Source organism: Homo sapiens, chromosome 13 (assembly GCF_000001405.40).
Source record: "Homo sapiens chromosome 13, GRCh38.p14 Primary Assembly".
NCBI lineage: Eukaryota > Metazoa > Chordata > Mammalia > Primates > Hominidae > Homo > Homo sapiens.
The window spans coordinates 79,322,475-79,348,777 of record NC_000013.11 but is presented as its reverse complement, the minus strand read 5'-3'; the positions used below and the strand labels follow the sequence as shown (position 1 = coordinate 79,348,777).

At 32.9% G+C, this 26,303-nt stretch overlaps 1 protein-coding gene across 50 annotated transcripts in view, besides 2 other annotated features; it reads left to right on the top strand.

Moving 5' to 3' along the window:
• RBM26 (RNA binding motif protein 26) overlaps nucleotides 1–26,303 on the top strand; it is a 94,429-nt gene that overhangs the window by 57,478 nt on the left and 10,648 nt on the right. For all 50 annotated transcript variants that reach the window (XM_047430536.1, XM_047430535.1, XM_047430521.1 and 47 more), the window contains 6 exons: nucleotides 3,984–4,109; nucleotides 4,456–4,530; nucleotides 5,947–6,114; nucleotides 7,551–7,655; nucleotides 11,476–11,676; nucleotides 14,348–14,434. In XM_047430536.1, coding sequence (XP_047286492.1) covers nucleotides 3,984–4,109; nucleotides 4,456–4,530; nucleotides 5,947–6,114; nucleotides 7,551–7,655; nucleotides 11,476–11,676; nucleotides 14,348–14,434 — 762 coding nt within the window. The remainder of the gene's footprint in view (nucleotides 1–3,983; nucleotides 4,110–4,455; nucleotides 4,531–5,946; nucleotides 6,115–7,550; nucleotides 7,656–11,475; nucleotides 11,677–14,347; nucleotides 14,435–26,303) is intronic.
• Nucleotides 17,106–17,606: an enhancer, noted in NCBI's record as "H3K4me1 hESC enhancer chr13:79905307-79905807 (GRCh37/hg19 assembly coordinates)". NCBI's record gives its function as "activates a minimal SCP1, AML or CMV promoter by ChIP-STARR-seq in primed H9 embryonic stem cells {active_cell/tissue: H9 hESC(primed)}" and the evidence as "EXISTENCE:reporter gene assay evidence [ECO:0000049][PMID:30033119]".
• Nucleotides 17,607–18,107: an enhancer, noted in NCBI's record as "H3K4me1 hESC enhancer chr13:79904806-79905306 (GRCh37/hg19 assembly coordinates)". NCBI's record gives its function as "activates a minimal SCP1, AML or CMV promoter by ChIP-STARR-seq in primed H9 embryonic stem cells {active_cell/tissue: H9 hESC(primed)}" and the evidence as "EXISTENCE:reporter gene assay evidence [ECO:0000049][PMID:30033119]".

The following is a 26,303-nucleotide window of genomic DNA, read 5'->3' as shown; positions in this document are numbered from 1 at the left end:
TGATACAGAACGCACATCTGTGTGCTGCTTTAAGTGAATATCATAAACGAACATTCAGATTTACTGAACAGGTGACTACTTACTATGAAAACTGACCATACAGTAACTGTATTAATACGTTTCCTACACATAGCTCCTCATACTGTCTTTTGATTGCATTAAACCAATGTATTTCTGCTTTAAAAACCTGTTGGAGCTATTTATTGTGAGTGTGGCTGCTAGACATCATAACTATATTTGTATTTAATTTCTACTTAGGCATTGGTTATTGAAAAATCATACTCGGATAACTTAATTTTACAAAATACTTTTTCCCTTCCATTCTTATCTATGAAAAACAGCTGTTTTTCTCTTTCTTTACGATTACTTATAGTTATTGTGGCTGGTATTATTTTACATAGGAAATAAAATAAGGAGGTGTTAATGGATTGTAACCTCCCTCTCTTTAGGGAAAATAAGAGGTATTAGTGCTATACATTTTAACAACACAGCACATGATACTTTTCAACTTATTTTCTGAGTTCAGCATACCAAACCTGACAATATACTATAAGAAAGGAAAATTACAGACCAACATCTGTCATGAACATAGACACAAATATCCTAGAGAAAATATTAGCAAATGTCCAGTGATACATGAAATACATAATCATTCATGGCCAGGTAGTATTTATTCCAGAAATTCAAGGTTGATTTACCATTGGAAAAATCAGTTTAATTGATGTTAGTAGAATGAGGGAGGAAAAAACTCTAGATGATTAGCTCAGTAGAGAAAGTGTTCTGTTACTTAGTTACATTAAACACTCTGCAAAGGAGGAATAGAGAAAAACTGTTTTAATTTGATGAAGGAAATCTGCAATAAAAGAAAAAAAACTACAGCTAACATAATATTCAATTGTGAAATATTGACTGTTTTTCCTTGAGGTTGGGAAAGACAAGGATGTCCATTTGCATCACTTTTATTTTTTTTAGTATTGTACTGGAGAGACTCATGGGTGCACTAAGGAAGGAAAATAGAATAAACCATATAAAGATTGGAAATAAAACTGTTTACTTGCAGATGACATGGTTGTAGATATAGAAAATTCAAAATAATTCACACAGTTGGGATTAAGTAAGTGTAGTAAGATGTATAGAAGTAAATATGTAAAAATTATAGCACATATAGAAATGCATTTGGAATATAGAAATGTGGTTGTTTGGAGAAGTCACTGTCTCTGTTCTTAGGAATTGGAGTATCTTCTTTTCTGTTGGGCTCGTTACTTCCCTCCACTAATTTCAGTTTTAATAGATTTTCTTCTTTTGAAAATACATGTGTCTCTTACTATCCAAACTGTCTAATCTCCAGAACCAGATAGATTCAAATAGTGAACAATATAGTTCATTGTTTATAAGTCACATTTTTACATTTTAACACCTCTGACGTTGGGCTGTGTCTTATAATTGTTAGACACAGGTTATGATTGGCAGCCTTTTTTTCTTTAGTAGGGGTACATAAATGATAGTTTGTCTTACAGTCACTGAGTTGTAGCCTTAGTGAGTCACATTCGTGGATGTTCTAGTTTTACAGAAGGATGTTCCTGGATAAAAAAGGAAATGGGAATACTTCTAGGAATAAAGGAGTCTTATCATTGTCAGATACTTTTATTCACTTTGAACCAGCACTCCTTAGTCTGATACTACATGTCAAAAATGATTTGAAAAGGAGTATTCTCACTGAAACTGGAGAAATACTTGGTTAAATAAATTATATGGGTTTGTTCTTGGCTTCTCACTGCTTTTATTATGAAGATAATATAAATTAAAAACTGGAAAATTGGGTTACGATATTCATTGTTTCACACTTAAATAATTAGGAGTTTTTTCTTTTGGCCACAACTTTTCAACTTATGGAATCCTCATGAAGAAAACAGTTTGTGAAACTTAATTAGGCTCTGTTTTCAGTTTATCCTGTGTTTCTCTACTAATATATTGTCTTGTCTTTGTATAGTCATGTGGTTTGGCATTTTGTGCTGTGGTTAGGTAGCATGGAAGAAATTTTTCTCTAGAATTACAAAGAAAGGTCACTGAAGTCTGACCACAAACAAAATCTTTGTTTAATTGGTCGAGTATGGTGGCTCACACCTATAATCCCAACAGTTTGGGGCGCCAAGGCAGGAAGATTGCTTGAGCTCAGGAGTTTGAGACCAGCCTGGGCAACATGGCGAGAAACCCTGTCTCTACAAAAAATACAAAACATTAGCCGGGTGTGGTGGTGCGCGGCTGAGGTCCCAGCTACTTGGGAGGCTGAGGATCACTTGAGCCCATGAGGTGGAAGTTTCAGTGAGCCAAGATCTGGGCCACTATGCTCCAGCCTGGGTGACAAAGTGAGACCCTGTCTCACAAATATAATAATTGATCAAATTTTAATACACATCAAATATTGTTAAGAACCTTTCTTTTTAAATATCAGCTGTACTGTATGAAACTAGTACAATTATAATATTTTAGGTTTTTATTTCGTTTAGAGGCTAACACTTTCTTGAATACTTAGAATAGCGATTTGTGATGTTCCCTAATCAGATTTCATGATGAAAGATTAGAAAGTAGTCTTCAGATTGCTACTTACCTGTTAACCAGATGTTAATGTTTCAGTGGCTAAAAAATAGGGCCACTTTTCTCATTTATACTCTTAAACTTGAGTAGTTCTTTTAACCTTATTTAGGTCATGAACTCCTTTAGAAACAATGACTTGAGAAAACAATGTTTTTCCTTAGAAAAATTGCAGTGTTCACACACATGCTTTCATGTTTAGTTTTATAGCATTCGTAGATCACCCTACAGGGATTCCTAGGCTTCTTTTTAAGAACCAGTAACCAGTCACCCCGTGGAACTTAAACTGTTTTTCTTTTGAAGGATAAAAAAGATACCCAATACTTTTTTTTTTTGAGCTGACCGTTGTATAGAAAAGGTTGTCCACTCTGACCTATAGTCATTTCAGTCTAGTTTAGTGCAGAAATGTTTTTTGAGTACTTACCCTGTGCCCTGGCACTGTTTGTAGCACTGAACCAAGTTAAAAAACAAGCAAAATCTCTGCCCTCTTGGAATGCATTTTTGGGTTTGTAAGGACTTTAGACACCATCATGTTCATCTTCTTTATTTTATAGATGAGCAAACTGAGGCCCAGAATGGTACTTAATCTTACCCGTGGCCTCATAATTAGTTGGTGGCAAGACTTAGGTACTGGAAGATGCGCAGAAGAGAAAGGCAAGTCTTTATGTTAATGCCCTTACATTGTAGACGGGGGAAAAGACACATTAATTAATATATTATCAGGTCGTTTTTTTTTACTAAATAGCTGACACTAACTAAAAATAGCTAATAGCATTTTTACCTAATAGCCAAAGAAATAAAATTTCATATAAGGACCTAGGTAGAAAAGAGAAATGATCCAGGCTTTGTTAGAGGTCTTGATTGTGTTAGGCTGAACCTAAGCTGAGTTTAGGGGAGTAAGGTCAGTTCAAGCAGAAGGAGCATTGCTACCAAAGGATTGGAGAATGAATGCAATAGGGTATGTTTCAGTACTGGAAGTTGCAAATGATTGTGTTAAATTGAGGGACAGCAACCAGTTTCCTCCTGTGCCATGCTCTTGAGTGTGGCTTCTGCTTTAGTCACTACAAATATTAGTAAATGTATTCAACAACTAATGCTTTCTCAGTGATGTAGTAATAGTAATGTTTTTCTTTTTGACATTTTCATGTTTTTCTTTACTTTTTTTTCTATAGGTATTTGGTGTTCATTTTTTTAAATTTTAGAGCTTATTATTTATACTCTACCTTTCAAATCACCAAATATGATTTCGTTATTATAAGTATAAAATACATTTAGTTCAGTGTGTTTTGAAGCTGAAGTTTAACAGTAGTGCTTTAAAGTTGAGTCTTATAGAAAATAGGATATCATGAACGGCTGATATATATTTTTAAAAGTTGAATTTGTATTGGTAGGTGTTGTCTACATCTACTGGCCTAACAAAAACAGTGTATAATCCAGCTGCTTTGAAGGCTGCACAGAAAACCTTACTTGTTTCCACCTCTGCAGTTGATAATAATGAAGCACAGAAAAAAAAACAGGTAAGTACAACTGGTATAGTATAAAAAATTTTTGCATATAGGAAAGCTTTCCTTGTGTATGTGTTTTTTCAGTGCTTATTGCAAAATAAGACTACAAGGGTGTTTGTTGGCTGCCACTGAACGTTTATTTTCCATAGTATAGCGGTAAATAAAAATTTTTTCTTTGAAAGAAAGGTTCCTGTGATTAATCTTTGAAACTTGCATACATATTTTAAGTTTTACATAGAAAAGCCTTGCATATAATTTTTGTTGACAGACTTCTGCAGTTACAACTATTTCTCTTCTCTTGAATAATATTGTTTATCCTTAGTAATATTCTAATGATATTTTTGATCCCTGATTCTAGGAGGCATTGAAACTTCAGCAGGATGTAAGGAAAAGGAAACAAGAAATTTTAGAAAAGCACATTGAAACACAGAAGGTAAAATGTTAAAGTTAGATTTGGCCAAATTGCAAATGTTATAATTTGGAGTGAACTTAATCTTATGCTACCTAGTCATAAAAAGATTTACTATAATTGGTAATGGTAAAACAAATATTTGTCAGTGATAATATTGGAGATGAAGAGCATACATCAGATGGTGGGTATACTTTATACTTTAACTGGTACTATAGTTATCAACATGAAATTAAGGTGTTCATTCAGTTGTGTTGCTGCACAGTAGTTTTTTCAACAGATAATTAAATGGAACCTTTTTTCTCAGTATTGATATGTACCTTTCTTCACTAGCTTAGGATCCTCTAGTCCTGTGTTTTTTAGTATAGCAGTTAGTAGCCACATGTGACTGTCTATAGCCACATCTGACTGTTGAGCATTTGGAATGTGTCTAGTCCAAATTGAGATGTGCTATAAGTGTAAAATATACACTAGATCTCAAAATGTAGTACAAAGAAAAAAGTAAAACATCACAATAATTGTTGAAATGTCACATTTTGGATATATTAGGTTAAGCAAAATATTTTATTAAATTAATTGTATTTGTTTCTTTTTATGTTTTTAATGTGACTGCTAGAAAATTAAAAATTACTTATGTGACTTGGGTTCTTTCTTTTGGACTGAGTTACTCTAATTTATGACATTTAATTAGTCTCAGTTCTTGATTATGTCTAGTAATGAAGGTTAGTAGTATGACATTTCAAAATGTTGAAAATACAGAAACTACATTTTGATTTGAAATGTGTGTCTTTTCTAATTTAAAGTTGGATATACTTGATTAAGAAAAATCACAATACTTTACAAAACCAAAAACTGAAGCCATCCTAATTCAGGAAACCTACAATAAATCATGTGGCTTCTTTTACCCATACTATCTTGCTTATCTTGTTGTTTCCTGTTCATGTTGGGAATACCATTCTCAGGTGAAAAAGTAATTAAACATTCATTTTTTCTAATATCTCATTGTATGAAAGGAACCATAAAACTTTTCCTCTGGTTCTTTCTGGGCTGGAGATGACATTGATAGTGGGAATACTTAGAGGCGTAACATCAACAAATGGATTAGAAAGTAAAATTGTTAATATATTTTTCAAATTGATAATTTTTCAGTGATAGAATTGAGTTTCTTCTGGTTGTGTGCTTCAAACTTATGTTCTGAGAGACCCAAATAGTAACAGTTCTTCACAAATTTAACCAAGAGTAAAACTTGAGTTGAGATAGTTAGCATCACCAAATCTGCTATTCTGCGATCTTTAGATAATTCATGGTTGTTAGCCTTCTCACGAATGCATAAACTAAAAAAAGTAGTAATATTTATTTTTAAATTACTTTGCAGTGTTTGTTTTGTTAATGATAATAGGAGTAATTAGCTTTATTTTTCTCTTTTTAAAAATTTGGCAGATGTTAATTTCAAAACTGGAGAAAAACAAAACAATGAAGTCTGAAGATAAAGCAGAAATAATGAAAACTTTAGAGGTTTTGACAAAAAATATTACCAAGTTGAAAGATGAGGTCAAAGCTGCTTCTCCTGGACGCTGTCTTCCAAAAAGTATAAAAACCAAGACTCAGGTATTTAATTTCATTGTTGTTCATATTATTACTTATTAACAAGCATTAGACACTACATTTTTAAGATTCAGTTTTTCTTGTAGGTAATATCTTCTGTTCAAAATCTGACCATTGTATGTACCATTCTCCCCCTGCCATAAATAAAAAAGTACAAACAAGTAAACTCTACTAATCTTTTAAATTCTGTTATAGTTGGAAAGTCACTAATTAGAAAAATAGTCATGGGTAACCTTGAAAAGGCCGCTTGAGGACAAAGTGATATAGGTACTTGACTGCTTGACTAGTTTTATATAATAGTAGTTGGTGATATAGAGGGTTAATAATAGACAAGTATGAATAACATTCTGACAACACCGTACACGGTGGATTGACTGAAAAGGGGAAAATTCAGGTTGATCAGGTAGATCAATCTACATAGATGGTAATAAGTGATTAAGAAAAAAACAGGGTTATACAATGTTTATACTTGGTGTGTCTGTATGTATATATGTATAAGGTCATGACTCTAATTGATATTTTAAATTCAAACCCAACATCACATGGCTCTTCCTTATTTCGTATTTTATTTCTGTTCCCATAATGACAACTTCGTTCCACTAATATCAATATATTATTATTAAACACAGTGCTATAATACGTTCAAAGTAGCTCAAAAATTGCTACAACAATACCACTTCCAACAACTAACTAAATATAAAATTCAAATGTATTTACGTTCTTTACAGCCTCGGTGTATTCCACTAAAGGTGTAAAGTCAGAACTGTGGTCTAAAATTACTTTTTTCCCCCTTTTGTGTAGTTGTTACTAATTTGATAAAGTTAAATCTATTTGCATTTGTATTCAGTTTTGGATCGCCTCTCCCTGGCCCCAATTCTTGCAGATTGTATTTTATTCTTTGAACAAGTGAAACAATTCTCATGGTTCAAAAGCAAAACTATATAAAAAGGAATACATAAAAGACCCCTTTCCCTTTGACTCCTGGCACTCTGTCCCCACCCATCCCTTATAGGTCACCAGTATCATTAGTTGTGGTTTATCCTAGTTTTTCTTTTTGTAAATATATGAATGTAGATAGGTATGTTTTCTACATAAAAACATACTCTGTATTGCTCATTAGCACCTTGGTTTTTTAGGGTTTGTTTTTTACTTTTCCTTTCAGTTATTTCCTTTAATTACCCCATATCAGTCTGTGTAAATCTCCTTCTGGCTGCTGTATGGAAAATGAATTATAGGAAAATCAGTGAAAGTAGCAACAAGTTAGGAAGCTGTTGCAGTTATTGTGGAGGTGTGGAGTATTTTGGCTTGGATTAGAGTGATTATACTGGAGATAGAAATATATGGATTAAATGGGACTGCGTAAAAGTTACTTTAAAAAGGTTTGTATCAATACAGGATAGTAATTACTGTCACCTAAAATATTAATTACTATTTTTTAGATGCAGAAGGAATTACTTGACACAGAACTGGATTTATATAAGAAGATGCAGGCTGGAGAAGAAGTCACTGAACTTAGGAGAAAGTATACAGAATTACAGCTGGAAGTATGTTTAATCACAACTACACAGTAGGCTTAAAAGAAGCAAATGTAGTTGTAGTGGTCAATTTAAAAATATATTCCCTTCCCTTCATTCTCATTAGTAATTGTTGGTAATCCCTGGCATACATATTGAGATGTTAATATAGGAAAGAGGGAAGAGGTCAACAAATTTTTCAGAGGTACTAGATAAAATCTTATTTAATGAGGAGTGGCAGTAATTCTGCCTATATCCCCAAGTTCCTCCATTTCTAATGAATTTTATTTCTTTCTATTTTTGGTCTGTCCTCCCTGGAATAGAAAACTTATAATAAAGTCTTTTCAGGTATTCTTATGGAGATATTCTTTGCATATAAATTGAGTTGCTGTATGCGAGTTTTAGTTGGAGAACTATATTGAGAACTATTTTGAAGAATATGTTTACTTGAGTTTTGCCTATAGATGGTGCTGTGGATGTTTAGAAAAGAGAAATAAACTTCTTTCTTGTAATTTAATTAGATGGTTATTTATATAAGAAACAACTCCTAGTGAAATTGATTCCTGTTATATGATATGAGAGAGAATTTTTGAATAGCAAAAAGAGGTTCAAAGATTGGAACTGTATTTTGAAATAGACATTAACGTCATTAATATAGTTGGCACATGTCTGTATTGTGGTTTGATACAGGAATTTAAGATTTTTATACTTTAGATTATTTAGCTTTAGCTGAGATTAATGCTTTTTTCTTAACTTGTTGGCAACTTGATCATTTTTTGGACACGGTAGAAATCTGTTTTGAATACTGCCATCCAGGTATTAAAGACTTAACATTTAGTAGCTACCATACTTGCCTTAAAGCTCTGTCTTCTCTGAAAGTCATAGGAAGCCATAGGATGTTGTCCTAAATGTTCATACCTTTGCATTCTCTGGAAACTTGATGTGGTTGCATGTGTGTCCTGCCCAGTATTTTTTTTGGGGAAAAAAAAAAGTTTGAAAAATATTTCTTTTATGTTAATAGAGAAATTGTGTTTTTCCCATTGTAGCGATTTTATGCCAGTGTTGGTGGAATCTTTGAAACAAAATATCATTTTCAAAATTCTGGCCCATAATTTAAATAAATAATAGCATTAACAAAATTCCTTATTATTCTGTGTTTTGCTTTTTTATTATAACATAGCTAAACACTGAATGACATTTTCTGTTTTTCCTTTATCACGGCTTACGTTTAGTTTTCAGTGAATATTAGTTTTATGCAGTAATGCAGTACTTCCCAGAGTGTGTTCATTCAGCACAGTCATTCCATTAGTTGTTAATAGAAAACTGGTGAAAAAAGGTTCTTAGGCTAAATAATACAACCTTAGAACAGGTTATATTGGATATGCGTTTTTACTGTGGGGTTTCTTAGAGGCTTTTAATTTCTGAATCTCTAAAAATACATATTAAGTATTCAGTGTTACTCAAGTTTATTTGTCCAAGGACCCTCCTTTTCAAGGAGCATTTTGAGGCATTAATATTCCTCAGAGCATACTTCCGTATATACTGTTCTATTACTAATATTAATCCTTGAGCTTCAAAATTTATTATTACGTGTTATTTTGTTATATTGACAAATGAAGAATTATATATATGATAATCCAAAATGTTTTGATATATGTGTAAGTTGTGAATTGATTACGTCAAGCTAACATGTCCATCACCCCACATACTTGTGATTTTTTTGATGAAAATTGAACATTTAAACTCTACTCTCTCAGCAATTTTCAAGTATACAATAATTATTATTAACTGTGGTCACCAACCAGTGCTGTACAATAGATCTCTAGAACTTACTCTTCCTATCTGACTGAAACATTGTACACTTTGACCAACATCTCTCCATTCTTCCTGTCCCCACAGCCCCTGGTAACCACCATTCTGCTGTCTGCTTCTATGAGTTTGATTGTTTTAGATTCCATGTATAAGTGAGATCATACAGTATTTGTATTTCTTTGCCTGGCTTATTTCACTTGGCATTATTATTTGGATATTAGATGATTATTTTAGCTAATGCTAAGATTAACTGTCTTGAGATGCAGAAACTGAAATACCTGTACTAGCAGAGATTTGGCAGCTGTGCCTGCTTCACACTTCCATTTGGGTATCTCACATCTAAGACTCAACATCTTCAAAATTTTGCTTATCTTGCTCCTACACCCCATCTGTACAGTTATACAAACCAGAAATCTGGCAGTCTTAATTGATTTCTCCCTTTGCTTCAGCATCTATATCTAATTAATTATCAAATTTTATATATGTTACTCCTAAATGTATCTTAAATGCGTTTACTTCTATCTCCATTGCCACTACTGTAGTCCAGACTTCCTTCTTCAGGTCTTTTGTAGTGGCATACTGAATGGTTTCCCAGCTTCTTTTCTTCCTTCTACTCTGTTCTTAAAACTCTAGCCAGAATATCCTCTTCAGCACTGATTTGGTTACATCACTCTTTTACTGCTTAAAATCTTTTAATTTATTTTTATGGCTCTTGGGATAAAACTCAGAATCCTTAACATGATCCTTAAAGTTATGTGTAATCTGACTCTGCCTTTCTCCAGGCTTATCTCTCCATCCAGCTACACTGGATTATATTCATTCTTTGGGAAATTACATTTCTTTCAGCGTTGGTGCCTTTTTTCATGCCGTAACCCCTACCTCATTCTTGCCTTTTTTCTTTGCTCCTCCTTTGATTCATTGAACAAGTATTAAATACAATCCACCAGCTACTGCTGGGAATAAAGCGGAGAATAAAATGGAAAAAAAAATATCTTGAGGGAACGTACATTCTAGTGGGTTATTCACTGCAAATCTTTGAAGTTCTTTTCGAATCTTAAAGCATTTCTTCACGTTTTGAGTCACTTCTCATTAATATAGTTAAATAACTTAGTTGCTCTTGTTGTTTTTTAAGATGGAATCTTGCTCTGTCGCCCAGGCTGGAGTGTAGTGGCGCGATCTCGGCTCGCTGCAACCTCTGCCTCCCAGGTTCAAGTGATTCTCCTGCCTCAGCCTCCCGAGTAGCTGGGACTACAGGCACTACGCCTGGCTAATTTTCAGTATTTTTAGTAGAGATGAGGTTTTTCCATGTTGGTCAGGCTGGTCTTGAACTTTTGGCCTCAGTTGATCTGCCTGCCTCGGCCTCCTAAAGTTTTGGGATTACAGGCGTGAGCCACCACTCCTGGCCATAACTTAGTTGTTTAATGCTTCTTTACACTTACGACTTGGGTTTCATGAGGGTAAAGACTTGCACACAGAAAGTGCACATTAAGTATTTGTGGAATGAAGGAGTGGTGTGCTATCATCATACAGAATAATGTGGTAGAATATCAGTGTGTTACATCAGTTCTATAATGATGTTAGTGATAAGTAATTAAAATGATTTGAGATAACTGTACCTATTGAAGTCAATTGGCAAACAAATAGAAAATCATAACTGGAAAAAATGTATTTATTGTGAATGTAGGTATTATCTGTTTATTATCCTGACTTCTGAAGTAACATTTAACACTGCATACTTGGAAATCAGGAGTTGCTGATCTTTTTGTGATATATCCTGATGTCTTAGAGAGCAAGAACTTAGAAAAAGGCACATTTAGTAATTCCAAGACCTCAGTGTTATTTTTTTGTTTCAGTTTACTAGCCACCTACATTTACTTTCACTAAACTAAAACCCCAATTTAAATTATGTGATCCTTTTATAGGGCATTTGAATACATTGTCAAATTGCATTAAAGTTTTATTCATCTGCCAGAGTGTAATGCTTGGCTTGTGTTAGTAATCACAGCATTGTTTAACCTGTGTGTCTAATCTCTTCTAGGCTGCCAAACGAGGGATTCTTTCATCTGGTCGGGGCAGAGGAATTCATTCAAGAGGTCGAGGTGCAGTTCATGGCCGAGGCAGGGGGCGAGGGCGAGGGCGAGGTGTGCCTGGTCATGCTGTGGTGGATCACCGTCCCAGGGCATTGGAGATTTCTGCATTTACGGAGAGCGATAGAGAAGATCTTCTTCCTCATTTTGCGGTACTTTCTTACTGCTCAACAAAACAAATGCTGATAATCATCATTGGGGATAGTAGACATAATTAAAGAGGAAGTTATGAAAAGGACATAAGTAATTTCAACTCGTTAATCTGAACAAAGAGTTTAATCTTTAATTTTTTTGTTAATTTAAAAACAAACTGTAGGATTTGTATAATTATCTAGAAGAGACATTACTATTCTTACACTTAGTAGGCCATGAAATACTGTGAAATGAACAATATAAACTTTGCTGTTTCAGAGAGGGAAGTCTTGTAGTTTAGTTTGATTTGATATTTACTTTTAAAGAAAAAGTTAACATATTGCATGGGCCATCCAGATTTTTAAAATAAGGTTTGTGTTTGTTAAAAATGTATTCTTGATCTAGCTGACCCAGTATTGAAACAAGATAAAATTTTGACCTATGATCTTGAAGTTGCCTCCGTCAGTGTCAGGATGTAATGAAAAAGACTTTGTATAATGGTAATATATTGACCTACAAGAAGGGAGAATGGGATTCTAGTCTCTGTTAATCCATTATTTAACTTGGACTTCCTGGGATTTATTAGGCTCATGTTCAAAATGAAGATTATACCTGCTGAATGGCCCTTTCATCTCAAATGCTGTGATTCTTAGTGGTATCCCAAAGGTTGGTTACTAAGCATCAGTTTTACCCTCAGCATTATATTTAATAGTAGTTGCTCTGGAGATATGAAGGAAATAATCAGTTCTTTATCCTCAAGGCTTTTACATGTATCAGTTTAACACAGAATAAACTACAGACATAATTTATAATCAAATTATAATTTATTAAGCACTATAAATACTTTAGTAACTTAGAGAAGTATCACGCTGGCATATGATGGAAAAAAGAACAATAGAGGAAAGTTTCATAAAGTAGTAAAACTGTAATTTAGATCTTAAAGAATAGGTAAGCTAGTAGGTAGGTACATAAATGATTTAACCTTTTGAAAATTCAGACTTAGGTGTTTAAAAATCATATTGGAGGCTTGCAGCAGTTACAGATATTTTGTCAGGACATAAGGAGATATTGACAGAAATGGTTTATGTTTAAGAAATAACCAAAATGATTAGTATTTAAGAATGAGGAGTCTAAAGTCCTGTTCTTGGTGGATTTAAAGGGATAAAGAAAGGAATTAAGAGAACTAGAAAGGAGCTTGGAAATAAATCTTGCCCATCTTTTCCCTGCTGTGTACCCCACTTCCACACCTTCCACAAGAGAAAGGAGAGCCAGATAATTTGTATGTTGTGTATAGTTTTACAGCTAATCAGGAAACTAACAATGAATGTGCTAAAATAATCCAAACAGACAAAGTGAGTTTGTTGTGATTTATGTTTTGGTGAGACTAAGGTGCTTTTGGCTGAGAAGTATTCAGAGCCTCTAAATGAAAATTCTGACATGCATTTGGACATTGAAATTTCACTCCAAAGTTCACATTTAAATTATTAGTCTTAAGTATGAGCACAGGTTTAGTTGAAGTTTAGCTTCTTTTCTCTCAACCTATGATTTGAACACATGATGGATGTCAGAGGAAAAAAAATTTACATTATTTAATATATGTGATGTTAAAGGACCATTAACTATTACAAATTGTGATTAACAAAAATGCTGTATCTTCCAGTACCAGTAGTAATAGTAATAAAAATTATAACTAAAAACCTATAGAGCACTTACTTTGTGGCAGGTATGCCCTCTGAGTGCCTTACAATAATTCATTATGAATTATTTGGATAACCCTGTGAGGTAGATACCTTTATTTACGCCCATTTTAGAGGTGAAGAAAATGATGCATGATGAGGTTAAGTAACTTGTTTACACAGCTAATAACTGGCAGAGCTAGAATCTTAGTGGCTCTAGGACATTCTCTTTACTGTGCTCTACAGAACATTTCTATGATATGTGTGGAGCTAATGAGATTACAGTTATAATTTTTGGGGGGGATAATTAGGAAGGTATTGATAATGATATATAAAGGACTAGAATTTTGTGGGATAAAGGTTGCTGTTTGTAGAAAAATCCTCCCACACATGAGGGAAAAAAATCCAACAAACCAAAAACAGGAATAATATAATGTGTTTAGCTTTTAAATGTTCTAAACAACTATAAAGTACAGTAGAGTGTGTAGTAAGCAAAACCATGGTCAGTTAGGGTGTTAAACTTTTGAATCAAGAGACCTGGAATCTCTTCCCATTAATTAACAATTAACTTTGGGGAAGTTACTTAAATTTTCTTTTTCTTTCTTTCCCCATTTATTGAGAATGATACCAAAAACTCACAAATTCTGAGGATTCAGTATGTTGCTTAAGAAAGAGTTTATCTTGGGATTGGTTTAGTGAGTATAAGAGGAAAGTTAGTTAGCAAGAACGCTCAGGCTTTGACCATTATTTCCTTCATTTAAAGCATAGTTCAATTGAGTATAAGTTTTACTAATTCTGGGAAGTGTGAATTGTATGTAAGATTGGAAGACAGGACCACCTTTTATCTTATCAAGTACTAAAATAAATTACTCACCATACTTTTCTGTTAACCATTATGAATTGTTATGTATTCTGGGTTATATTTATTAGTATTTTAATGTTTTTTAATACCATTAGGATTTTTGGATATTTCAAAATATTTATTTGGAGGAAATACTTTTTTTTTAATTTAAAGCAATATGGTGAAATTGAAGATTGTCAGATTGATGATTCCTCACTTCATGCAGTAATTACATTCAAGACAAGAGCAGAAGCTGAAGCAGTAAGTTTTAAAAATAATTTATCAATTCAGATTTAAATGATTTATAAGTATTACTTTTAAGTTTTAATATAAATGAATTTTTTAACTTACTAAATAATATGCTTTGACAATAGGTAGAACACCTGAAGTGGAATTCATGCCCTCAAAGAATGTCCTAATGCAGTTATAAGCAATTCTGTGTGTAACATAATACAATTAAAATACATATTTAGTCACCAAGTGGAATGTCAAATTGTGCTGTCGTGAGATACCAGGGATTCTCCTTTCTTTCTTTTTCATAGTAGATAGGGCCACTCCACTACCCATTATTCTTTTTTTTCAGCTGACCCAAAACAGGATCTGCTTTGGCAGAATGAGTGGTGAGGGATAAGGTACAAGCAGTTCTAATGTCTGCCCATCTTAGCCATTCCTCATCTACTGCTTCCTGGTCTCATCAGGTTGAACTCTAAAAGAAGTGTCCCTAGTTCAGCATAGCCCCAACTAGACTTCTATGACTTTTTGCCTAAGACATGGTCTATACCTCTAACTTTGAGGGTACTCTTAGTAAAGTTACCTTAAACTATCAATCTTGAATTGTCTTTCCAAGGACTGACCGGAATATCTGCAACCTTGTCTTTCATTTGGGTTTCAAAGATTAAAAAAAAAGGAAAATGGGAGTGAGGTGTAGGGGATTCATAGGAGCCTTTTTTGCCCTGTGTGTTCTTTCTTCAGGAATTGTAGAGAAGACAGTGTCACTGTTTTGTCCTTGCCATTGTTCCAGGGATGAAATAGTTTTCCAAATGAAAGCAATGAAAGAGTGAGATGCTTTTCAGAAGTTTTAAGTTGATTTCAACTTAAATAAGTTTTGAAAAAACCTCTACATTTATTTATCCTCTTTGTAGTGAATGTTCTCTGCCAGCACAGTGGTACATTGCTTACCTGGTAGAAGTTGCCCTTGGGGCATTGTAACCATAAGACTATGGGTCTGATAAGTCATTCAACTGGAGCCTTGAAAAAATCTAGTTTTGGGGGTAGAGGTAGGGGGTAGTATATTATTTTATAAAATAGGAATTCCTGATCTTAGGGTGTTCTCTTTTTAAAGCTAGCTTTGAATAATCATTTCTTTAATGTTCTTTTGTGAAAGTAAAAAGTAATTTAAAATTGATGAGATTTTAAAACTCATAAGCTTGTATGTGTGTATGTTATATTGAAAAAGGTAGATCTTTGATTAAATGTTCTCTCCAGGGTATTGTTAAGTGCAAGTTTAGAGTAAGCTTCCTTTCAGTGGTGGCTTCAGTTGATAATTTTTAGTCTCTTGCTAGATAGGTAGTTTTATGTTTTATGTATTTTCTAGGGAATAGTGGTATTATAAAATAATGATAGTTGTTACTGTACAAATGGTTCAGATATTGCCAAATTTGTGGATTTATTAAGAACTTTAAATATGTACTACTTCCCTTGCTTGCTTATATGGCTGAGAAAAAATTAAAACCTCTTCTTAAATAATTTTTGGAAATTTTGCTCGCGGAAAGACTTTTGACACGTACCTTCTTTCTTGGGTCTTGCTTTTTGTACCTTAGGCGTGTATACAATGTATTTTTCAAAATTAATAACAATAAAAAATACCAGGGATTAATGTATAAGGAAGACTTTAGCACTGAATTACATGAAGGTTGAATAAGTGACAGAATAACTAAGGCCAAGTTAGGTCTAATGAGAATTACCTATTTAGAGGAAATAGCTTTAGTTGGATTTACTTAATAGACTAAAAAGAGTAATGACCACTGCTATGATAAATGTTTAGATTTTTAGTTACAAAAGTTGTTAAAGCATAAGCATATCCTTAAGCCAGAAAGTTTCTTAAAATTTTGTAATGTTGAAAAGAATAGAAAATTAAGTTGAAGCTTATCTTATACAAGCAGGATACATATAGAGCAGTGGTCTTCAAACTTTTGGATTTCAGGGAACAGTAAAGTTTAGGAATTTAAAAATTTGTGTGTTTGTCATAGAGGTATCAACTTTTTATTTTGCCAGGGAAGAATACTTTAAAAATACAAAAAGATTGTCATGTTCTATCACCATTGTTATATAAAATAAAGGAAATTTTAACACTGAAAATGTAGGAGAACATGAACTCGCAGTAAAGGATAGGCCTTCCCAAGAAAAAACTGTCAGCCCTTGCCAATGTTTACTGTCAAACATTACATTGTTCTTGTTTTCTGGACCATTATCCTAGATGACTGAATGAATTTATTTTCTATAATCAATAGATGCATAGTATTTCAAGATGAAAGTACAAGAATAAATAAGGTAATTGAGACATTCAGATATAACTGAAAAGTGAGAAGTTTTCCTCAGGAAAAATATTGAAGCATTTTAAAGACCATCAGTATAAGCAGAACACTGTTAGCTTTAGGTTAAGATGGTTTATGGTTTGACTCTGCCTTGTTACCTAGAAGATGGTTCCTATTACCTTATTTTCTATTTTTTTGTCTATCACCATGCCAAAGTACTAAAGTTGGATAAGTACTCAGACAAGAGTAAAGCAGTCGTCTCTTCCATGACTGATTTGAATATTATCTTTTCTGCACTGAATTGTTACTGTACCTTTGTAGGAGCCCAAGATCCTGTTCAGAATAGGAATAATTAAGTTGCTGTTTTAGAAGAATCAGAACAAAAATGAAACCTATAGTCCCAAACTCACAGAGGTACAATTTTTTTTTTTTTTTGAGGCGGAGTCTCGCTGTGTTGCCCAGGCTGGAGTGCAGTGGTGTGATCTCAGCTCACTGCAAGCTCCGCCTCTCTTGGCTTCATGCCATTCTCCTGCCTCAGCCTCCCGAGTAGCTGGGACTAGAGGTGCCTGCCACCACGCCCAGTTAATTTTTTTTTTTTTTTTTTTTGTATTTTTAGTAGAGACAGGGTTTCACCATGTTAGCCAGGATGGTCTCGATCTCCTGACCTCGTGATCCACCTGCCTCAGCATCCCAAAGTGCTGGGGTTACAGGCATGAGCCACTGTGCCTGGCTGCGAGGTACAATTTTTTATATCAAAAGGAAAGAGGGGCCAGGCGCAGTGGCTCACACCTGTAATCCCACCACTTTGGGAGGCCAAGTGGGGTGGATCTCTTGAGTCCAGGAGTTCGAGACCAGCCTGGGCAACATGGAGAAACCCCATCTCTACCAAAAAATCAGCCAGGTGTGGTGGCGTGCACCTGCAGTCCCAGCTGTTTGCGAGGCTAAGGTGGGAGGATCACCTGAGCCCAGGAGGCAGAGGTTGCAGCGAGCTGAGATCATGCCACTGTGCTTCAGCCTGGGCGACAGAGCCAGACCCTATCTTAGCAAAAAATAGGGGGAAAGAGAATCATGTTTTACTAAATGGATTCAACCAAAAGAAGTCAAATTATGTGCATAGCAGAGTGTGTGTGTGTATGTGTGTGTGTTTTTACTGATACTTAATAGTTATTAAGTGCTGCTATGTGATGGGCACTGTGCTACCAGAATTAGTAACTTGAGGTCTGAAGCTTGTGGGAAAGTAGCCATGTGCATTGAACTCAAGAGTTAAAGAATTGGAAGTCTTTCTTTGTAACTTCTAAAAATTAGATTTTGCATGTTTTTAAAAATGTGTGGTCATATATATTATATAATTATATGTATTTGTGTTCATAACTCGTGCTTTAACATTCTATAACATTACAAATATTACTAAACTTGCTTTTAGCCTTCTTTTATATATTAGTTATATTATCGTTACTAAAAACGTAAGGAACCATAGGATTGCAGTTTACTTTTCGGTAATTATCTGTATTTCAAGTCAGTTTTCTCTGTAGTTTTTGCAAAACACTGTTTCTGCAAGAGATCCCCTAACAAAAGATTCTCTTGTCAGATAAGTTTGTGAAAGGCTGCATTTTTATATTCCATTTAGAACTGTAGTCTAAATGGACTAAGTCCAGAGGTAAACAAACCTGTTTAATTTTGTTTCACCCAACATTTTTCCAAACTTAATTGTTTCCAGAACATTTTCCACGTAAGATGTGGAATCCACAATTACTTTTCATAGTTTTTTCCTCCTTTGTTAGATCTTTAACCTTTGTGCTTTCTGTTATGTATATGCCATTCCTTAATTTGCTGTAAGCTTTGAATGAATGTGTGTAAGAATAAATAGTCAAAAGACTAGAGACAAGCCTCTGAATAAACTATTTCAGCTTTAAAACTCAAATTTTGTGTACATTTTATAGTATAGAAATTAGAATTATAAAATGTATTCACATATGCACATCATTGAGCTTCAACAGTTATCGACTTAGGGCCAATCTTATTTCATCTATATTTCACTCGCTACAACTTGCCCACTCCTTATTTTGGAGCTATTCACAGTCACTGTATCATTTCATCTGTAAACATTTTAGATGATAGAACCTTAAATGATGGAACCAGTTTCTAGAGGTTTGATTCCTTCCTTTTTCATTTAGGTTTTAACGTAGGTTGGCTCTTCGAATGATAGAGCCTTAAAAAAATACAGTACTACTATCACACCTAAAAATTATATTCCTAAATATCAAATATCCAGTCAGGGTTGACATTTGTCTAATTTCTTGTAAATTTACTTTTTAAAAATAAGGATCTAGATAAGGTTCATATTTTGATATAGCTTGATTGGTGTTATGCAGTCATAAATTCATATATAAACATTTTATGGGTACAAATCCATTGCTCTCAGTTATTAATGTTGAAGTTATTCCATCTTTGGCCAGGAGACTACAGGTTGGCTCCTGAGTGCTTTTGACAGGATCCTAGTGGTTCTGTTCCTTCTGGTATGAGAAGGTGTTCTAGGTTCATTTTAAACACTGTCTCTTCCAGACCTGGAATTGACCCTTTCTCTAAGGAGCTTTGGTTTATTTATTAGGCAAAGATATTTAGACACTACAGTTTGGGTACTAGGGGTACGCATTACTATTAAGTATGTTACCATCACTAATCCTTTTCAGTTGTCAGAACTGGGAGTGAAAAAAAAACATACATATATATATATGTATATGCACATATATACACATGTATAAAGAAATTTAGAGCTCATACTGATACTTTGCATTTAATTTGGGGCTATAAAGTTTTTAATACATACACATATATACACACATACAAGTAGATAGGTAAAGATAAATTCAGAATTCACTCTGATACTTGTTAATTCTAGACTCTATGGTTTTTACTTAATCTCATGGGTCTTAATGTCTCTACATTTTTCCACCTTTCTCACTGACACCAACATGTGGGTGAACGGATATGTACGTTTAAATTTTTAATGAAAATTGCCCACCATAAAGGTTATACTTATTTGCCCACCAAAGATGTATGAGAATGCTTTTTCCCTACACTCTTGCCATAGTGTGTACGCTACATAGTGGTTTTACTACTTTTCTTATTAAAAAAAAAAATCCATAGGTATGTAGTTTGTCCTCATTTTTATCGGAGTGGGGTATCAGTTTTATCTTCAGTTTATCAAACTGAAATAGAAACTCATTTAGGTTTTAATTCACTTTTCTGATTGTAGTTGAGCCATTTTCATGTTTAATTAAATGCTGTCTGTTTTTATTGTTTGTTTTTATGTCTATCAACTGTTAATGTCATTTGCCCATTCTATTATTTTGCTGAGTAGTCTTTTTTTTTTTTTTTTTTTTTTTTACTTAATGCAGGGGCTCTTTGTATATTTGGAAATTAGCTCATAGCTTATATTTTTATGAATTTTCATTTATGCTGTATTTTCCACAATAATAGTTAATTGTCCAGTTAATCTTTTTTTATAGTTTGAAAGGCTTTCACCAATCTGAGATAAGAAACATTTTCCCTTGTTTTTTCTAATACTCTTAATATTAATAGGCTTTTTTTTTTCTTTGAAGACTTCACATTCATTTTTTTAAAAATTTACGTGGAACTTATTTGGTCTAAGGAGTGAAATAGGAAGCCTGTTGGGTTCATTAGTTAAATCTAGTTTTTCCAGGCTTATGTGAAATATATAAATTTCTGATATGTTTATTTGGGTGTGTTCCAGACTCTTCCATTGATGAGTTCTCTCTTCATGTGCCTGTTTCTCACTGTTTTAATTAAACTAGCTTTCTAAACTCAGTAGTTTGTCAGGGCAGTTTGGATTCCCTCTCACACCCAATTATTACTCACTTTCAGAATCTTGCTGGTATGTTTTAGGTGTTTATTTTCGATGTAAACTTTTGAATAAACTTAGTTTCAAAAAGATAGACTAAGTTATGGGAGAATGAACATAATAATACTAAATTTTCCTCAAATGCTAAGTCTTCCTCTAAAACCTCATTGTCTTTCAAGTTCTTCAGTACTTTTTACATTGTAAGAGCATTTTAATTTTTTTTAACATAGCCAGTATATATTACTAGTGTTAAGGTTTTCTTTTTTAAAAATTAATTTAATTTTTAGATTCAGGGAGTACACATGCACGTTTGTTAATGAGTATATTGCATACTGGTAGGGTTTGGGGTTCTAGTATACCCATTACCCAAATAGTGAACATTGTACCCATTAGGTAATTTTTCAACCCTCATCTGTCTCCCACCCTTCCTGCTTATGGTTTCTTTATATAGACAACATACATTGCTTATAAATTTCCCCATAATAATTCATCTTTTTATTGCTATTTTAAATGAGATCTTTTGTTCCATAATATTTTCTATTGGTTCTTCATATGTAGGAAGACTGTTCATCTTTTTTTATTAAATGTGTAACTGCCATCTTATCAAACTATTTGATGGTTTTAATTTTGCTCTCTTGGGTTTTTTGGGTTTTCATTCAATTTATCTTTGGTTAAACATAGTTTTACCTCTCACATTTCTACACTTATACTACTTTCTGTTATTTCATCGTTTACCTTTAGAAAAATGTTAAAAACATCGATAATAATAGTGACTGACTTTTTTGCAGAATGAAAATGCTTCTAGTATTTTCAGTATTATGTGTGATGCTGGCTTTTTGTCTTAAGGTAGAATACAAATGACTCTGTTTCATTAAGATTTTTGATCAGAAATGGATTTTTTTTTTTTTTTTTTGAGACAGGTTCTCATTCTGTCACCCAGGCTAGAGTGCAGTGGTCTGATCACAGCTCACTGCAGCCTTGACTTCCTGAGCTCAGGTGATCCTCCCACCTCAGTCTCCCAAGTAGCTGGGACTATAGGCACACGCCGCCACAGTTGGCTAATTTTTGTATTTTTTGTAGAGATGGGGTCTCACCATGTTGTCCAGGCTGGTCTTGAACTCCTGAGCTCAACCAATCTGCCTGTCTCAGCCTCACAAAGTGCTAGAATTACAGGTTTCTGTCACTACGCCCAGGCTAGAAATGGATTTTTATAATGCTTTTTGATGTTTGTATAACAATGACTTTTTTTTTTTCTTTTTCACCTTATTTCATTGCACTGCTTCTAATCATTCTCTTCTGGTTTAAATCCCATAGTACTGTATTTTTAAAAATCACTAAAGTCTCTTCTTTTTCTTTCTATTTCTCTTTTTACTTTTTAAAATGATTTTCAAAAGTAAGATTGGTTTGTAAATTTTGGGAGGGATATTTTTGTCAGGTATCTCTATTACCTGTCATTGGAAAGTTTCCATTATTCTTTGCTTTCTGAGATAATTTAAGTTGCTTTGGAAATATGTTTTTTAAAATTTTAATAGAATTCATTTGTGAAACTATCAGTATCTAATGATTAAATGTGTCTTTTTACAGGCTGTTTTGTAGAAATGATTTGTTTAAGTTTATCTTTGCTGGCTTTAGTTTGGTACTTTGGTAGTTTTTTCAAAAATTATCTTTTTAATCTAGATTATCAGCTACATTTGCATTGGGAAGCAAATTTTATCTTCATCTGATACTATTTCCCCCCCTTTCATATTTTGTGGATTTTTACATTTAGGTCCACTTTCACCTTTTTGACCACTACGTCCTAGCCCAAGTAGGCATCCTGTAGAGCACATTTAAACATGGTGTTCCTTAACATTTTATAAATGGCTATACAGTTCACTTTTAAAAATATATTTTAATGGAATTTTAAAGTACATGCATAACTCTTGAAGCACTGCCATAGCATACTTTAAAAAGTTATTTGCATTAATTATTCGTACTGTTTAAAAGCAGTACAAAGCAGATAATGTAGTACAATACAGTTCAGAAATAGACCTAAGTTTATACAATCATGTGCCACTTAAGAGGGATATGACCTGAAAAATGTGTTGTTAGACAATTTCATTGTTGTGTACACATCACAGAGTGTATTTACACAAACATAAATGATATAACCTACTACACACCTACACTCTATGGTATATAGCCCGTTGGTCTTAGGCTACGAAACTCTGGCATTGTGTTAACTATACTGAATACTGAGGCACTTGTAACACAATGGTAAGTATTTGTGTAGGCAAACATATCTAAACATAGAAAAGGTACAGTAAAAATAGGGTATAAAAGATAAAACATGGTATACCTGTATGGGGTACCTACCATGAATGGCATTTGCAGGACTGGAAATTGCTCTGGGTGAGTTAGTGAGTGAATGTAAAGGCCTAGAACATTACCATCGTATTTTATAAACTCGTACTTTAGACCTTATAAACACTGTACACTTAGGCTATACTAAGTTTATAAGAACATTTTATCTTTCTTTAATAATAAATTAACCTTAGTTTGCTCTAGCTTTTACTTTTAAACTTTACAATTTTTAAAAACTTTTTGACTCTTGTAACGCCACTTAGCATAAAACAGACACGTTGCACAGCTGTACAAAAATACTTTCTTTATATCCTTATTCAATAAGCTTTTGTCTATTTTTAACATTTTTTTATGTTTTACTTTTTAAACTTTTAATTAAAAACTAAGACACAAACACATACATTAGTCTATGTCTAAACATGGTCAGAATCATCAGTATCACCGTTTTCTACCTTTACGTCTTGTCCCACTGGAAAGTCTTGAGGGGCAGTAACACACACACAGCTGTCATAGGCAATGTGTGTATTATAGGCTGAGGCCTACGATAACAGTTCCTTCTTCTGAAATACCTCCTGAGGAAACTGCCTGAGGCTGTTTTATAATTAACTTAAAAAAAATTAGAGTACACTCTAAAATAATGATAAAGAGTATAGTATAGTAAATATGTAAACTAGTAACAGTCGTTTGCCACCATATTCAAGTATTATGCTGTACATAATTGTGCGTGCCATACTTTTATATGACTGGACTGGCAGCACAATCGGTTTGTTTACACCAGTATCACCATGTGAGTAATGTATTATGATAGTTATAAGGTCACTAAGCAATAGGAATTTTTCAGGTTTATTAAAATCTTAGGGGACCACTTTTGTATATAGTCATTGTTGACCAAAACATTGTTCTGTGGTGGCTGACTTTATGAGGATTTTAATGGATCACAAAGGAGTTGTTTTAAATCAAGGAATAAAACAAGTTATTCAGTAAATGATGTTGGGGCAATTGACTAGCTATTTGGAAAAAAGACAGCATTATGTCTTTTTTAAATATCCAAATAAATTAAATTGGATGAATTTTTTTTCTTTTTTTAATACATAAAACATTTAATACATGCTACAAAATTCTTTTTTTTAAATAGTAAAATCCTAGGGATTTAAAAAAAATAGTCTTAATATTGAGAGGGCTTTTTAAGGTATGGCACGATATTCATAAAGGAAAATATTGGTAAATTCCAGTACATGAAAAATTTAAAACTTGTTGATGACAAAAACAAAAGAACAACAACAACCCCTTTCTCTCCAATAAAAGGTGCATCATAAAATCAAAATCCAATCGGGGAAAATATTTTGCCCAAAATATCACCAAACTTCATTCAATTAGAAAAATACAAGCAGGCCAGATTGTGAAAAAAGTCAAACATTTCACTTCTAATAGAAAGTCACACAAGATGTACAAATACACAAGATTGTTCATATCTGTAGAAATTGCTTTAATTATGCTAAATATATAATATATATGGCCATTCAAGAAAAGTGACATTTATTGGTATGGACATCGAGAGATATTTATGAAAAGAATTGGGTTAATAATTTAACCATGAAGTTATAAACTAGTATGTTTCCGTATACATACCATACATATTTATATACAGAAGTTCTTTCAGTATGTGTGTAGAAAAATATATGTAGGATTTAACTCCGAATTCCTCACAGAATAGTGGTTATCTCTTAGGGCTAGGGATAATCATGGACTGCTTTTTTACATTACGTGGCCTGAAATTTTGAATCTTTGTAAAAAGTGAAATGGGTGGGTTACAGAAGGAATTGTTTAAACTTTAAAGATTTTATGTTGCAATTACCTGAAATATTGGTTTCTTGAACTTTTCTAATATAAAACAATAGTTTTATCAAAATGAAAGTAATTATGGAATATGTTTCTTATAACATCAGAAGTTCTTAGTTTTCCTGAGTAAATTTACATCTTTACAAAGCAAAAACTCAGTTCTTTCAAAAATTTACACAGCCTAATTCTCAAGTTTGTAATGGAGCAATGTTAATAAAAAGTTTGTAAATCATTTTGTAATTAAAGTTGAAACTTTAGAAAGTTGTAGCCTCATCTTATAGATTTGAGGAGCTGTGTGCTGAATATAGAGATGTGTAAAGTTAGATCATCAGAAATTTTTGTCAGTAACTTATTTTTGAAAATGTCAGTAACTCTTTTGCTTTTTAGGTGAATTTTTTTTAGCTGAATGTAAGGATGAGTTTTATGAGTAGGTATTTTGCATTAAACAGTTGGAATTCCTTATAGAATATGATACATTTTTATGTAACAGTGATAGCTTCAAAAAATTGCAAATTGTCCTGGAACTAAAATACATATAAGTACTTTTTAAAAAAATTCTAGTTGTATGACATTGTGACAAAAATTCTCTGAGCAGCATTTGAACAGGCATGAAATCTTTTAAATTTATCATAAATTTATATGTGCAGGTTTAAAATTTATACCTGGGGATTTTAATACCACACAACTTATGTCAAATATCATTGAATATGTAATTGTTTCTACATTTCACATTATGCTGTACTTTGAGATTGTATTATAAATCTTGTGTGAGTATAAGTTATTTGGCAATATGTTGCTAACACTGATTTACCTTAGTTCATGTTACTCTAATTTGAATGCAGTTTCCAAACCAGCCACTTAATATAGCAAGTACTTAGACATGACTATTTTTTAAGTTCACGTTTTATATTCAGTTATAAAAGTTTGGTAGGAAAAACTGTTTTTCAATAGAAGAGTTCAGAGGGGTTTTTTTTCCTTTCATTGAGACACTTATATTTTGTTTTAGTTTTATAATAAACATTTTATGGTAGTTGGTCATTTGATGTAATTTGAAAATAATATACTTTACACATGCAAAATTATTATTAAAGATTAATAATTATATACCATTTGTAAATGAACAGTAATTGAAATAAAATATATTTAGCATATTGATCCTAATTTAGACATTGATTCAGACATTAAAACTAGGATCTTGAAGTACCTTGGGATTGTCATCTTAAACAGCAGTTGTCATTGTGTTATAAACATGTAGACATATTTCTTTTAGTCAAATATTGGCCAGTAGTGAAATAGCTATATTTTATTATGAGAAATTATTCTTGTTTTCTTTTTAAAGGAATTTGCAATTACTAGTCTGATTGTAGGAGTAAATAACCATAAAAAGTAAAGTGTAAATTATAATAATAGTAAATTGAATAGTAAATAATCAAAAAGCAAATGGGCAGATAGCCATCTTCAGTTGTCTTTAGCTATTTTAATTTTAATGTTAGGCACTATGACATTTATTTTTTTCTTCAGAAATTTTTAATGTCTTATATTCCAATATTTT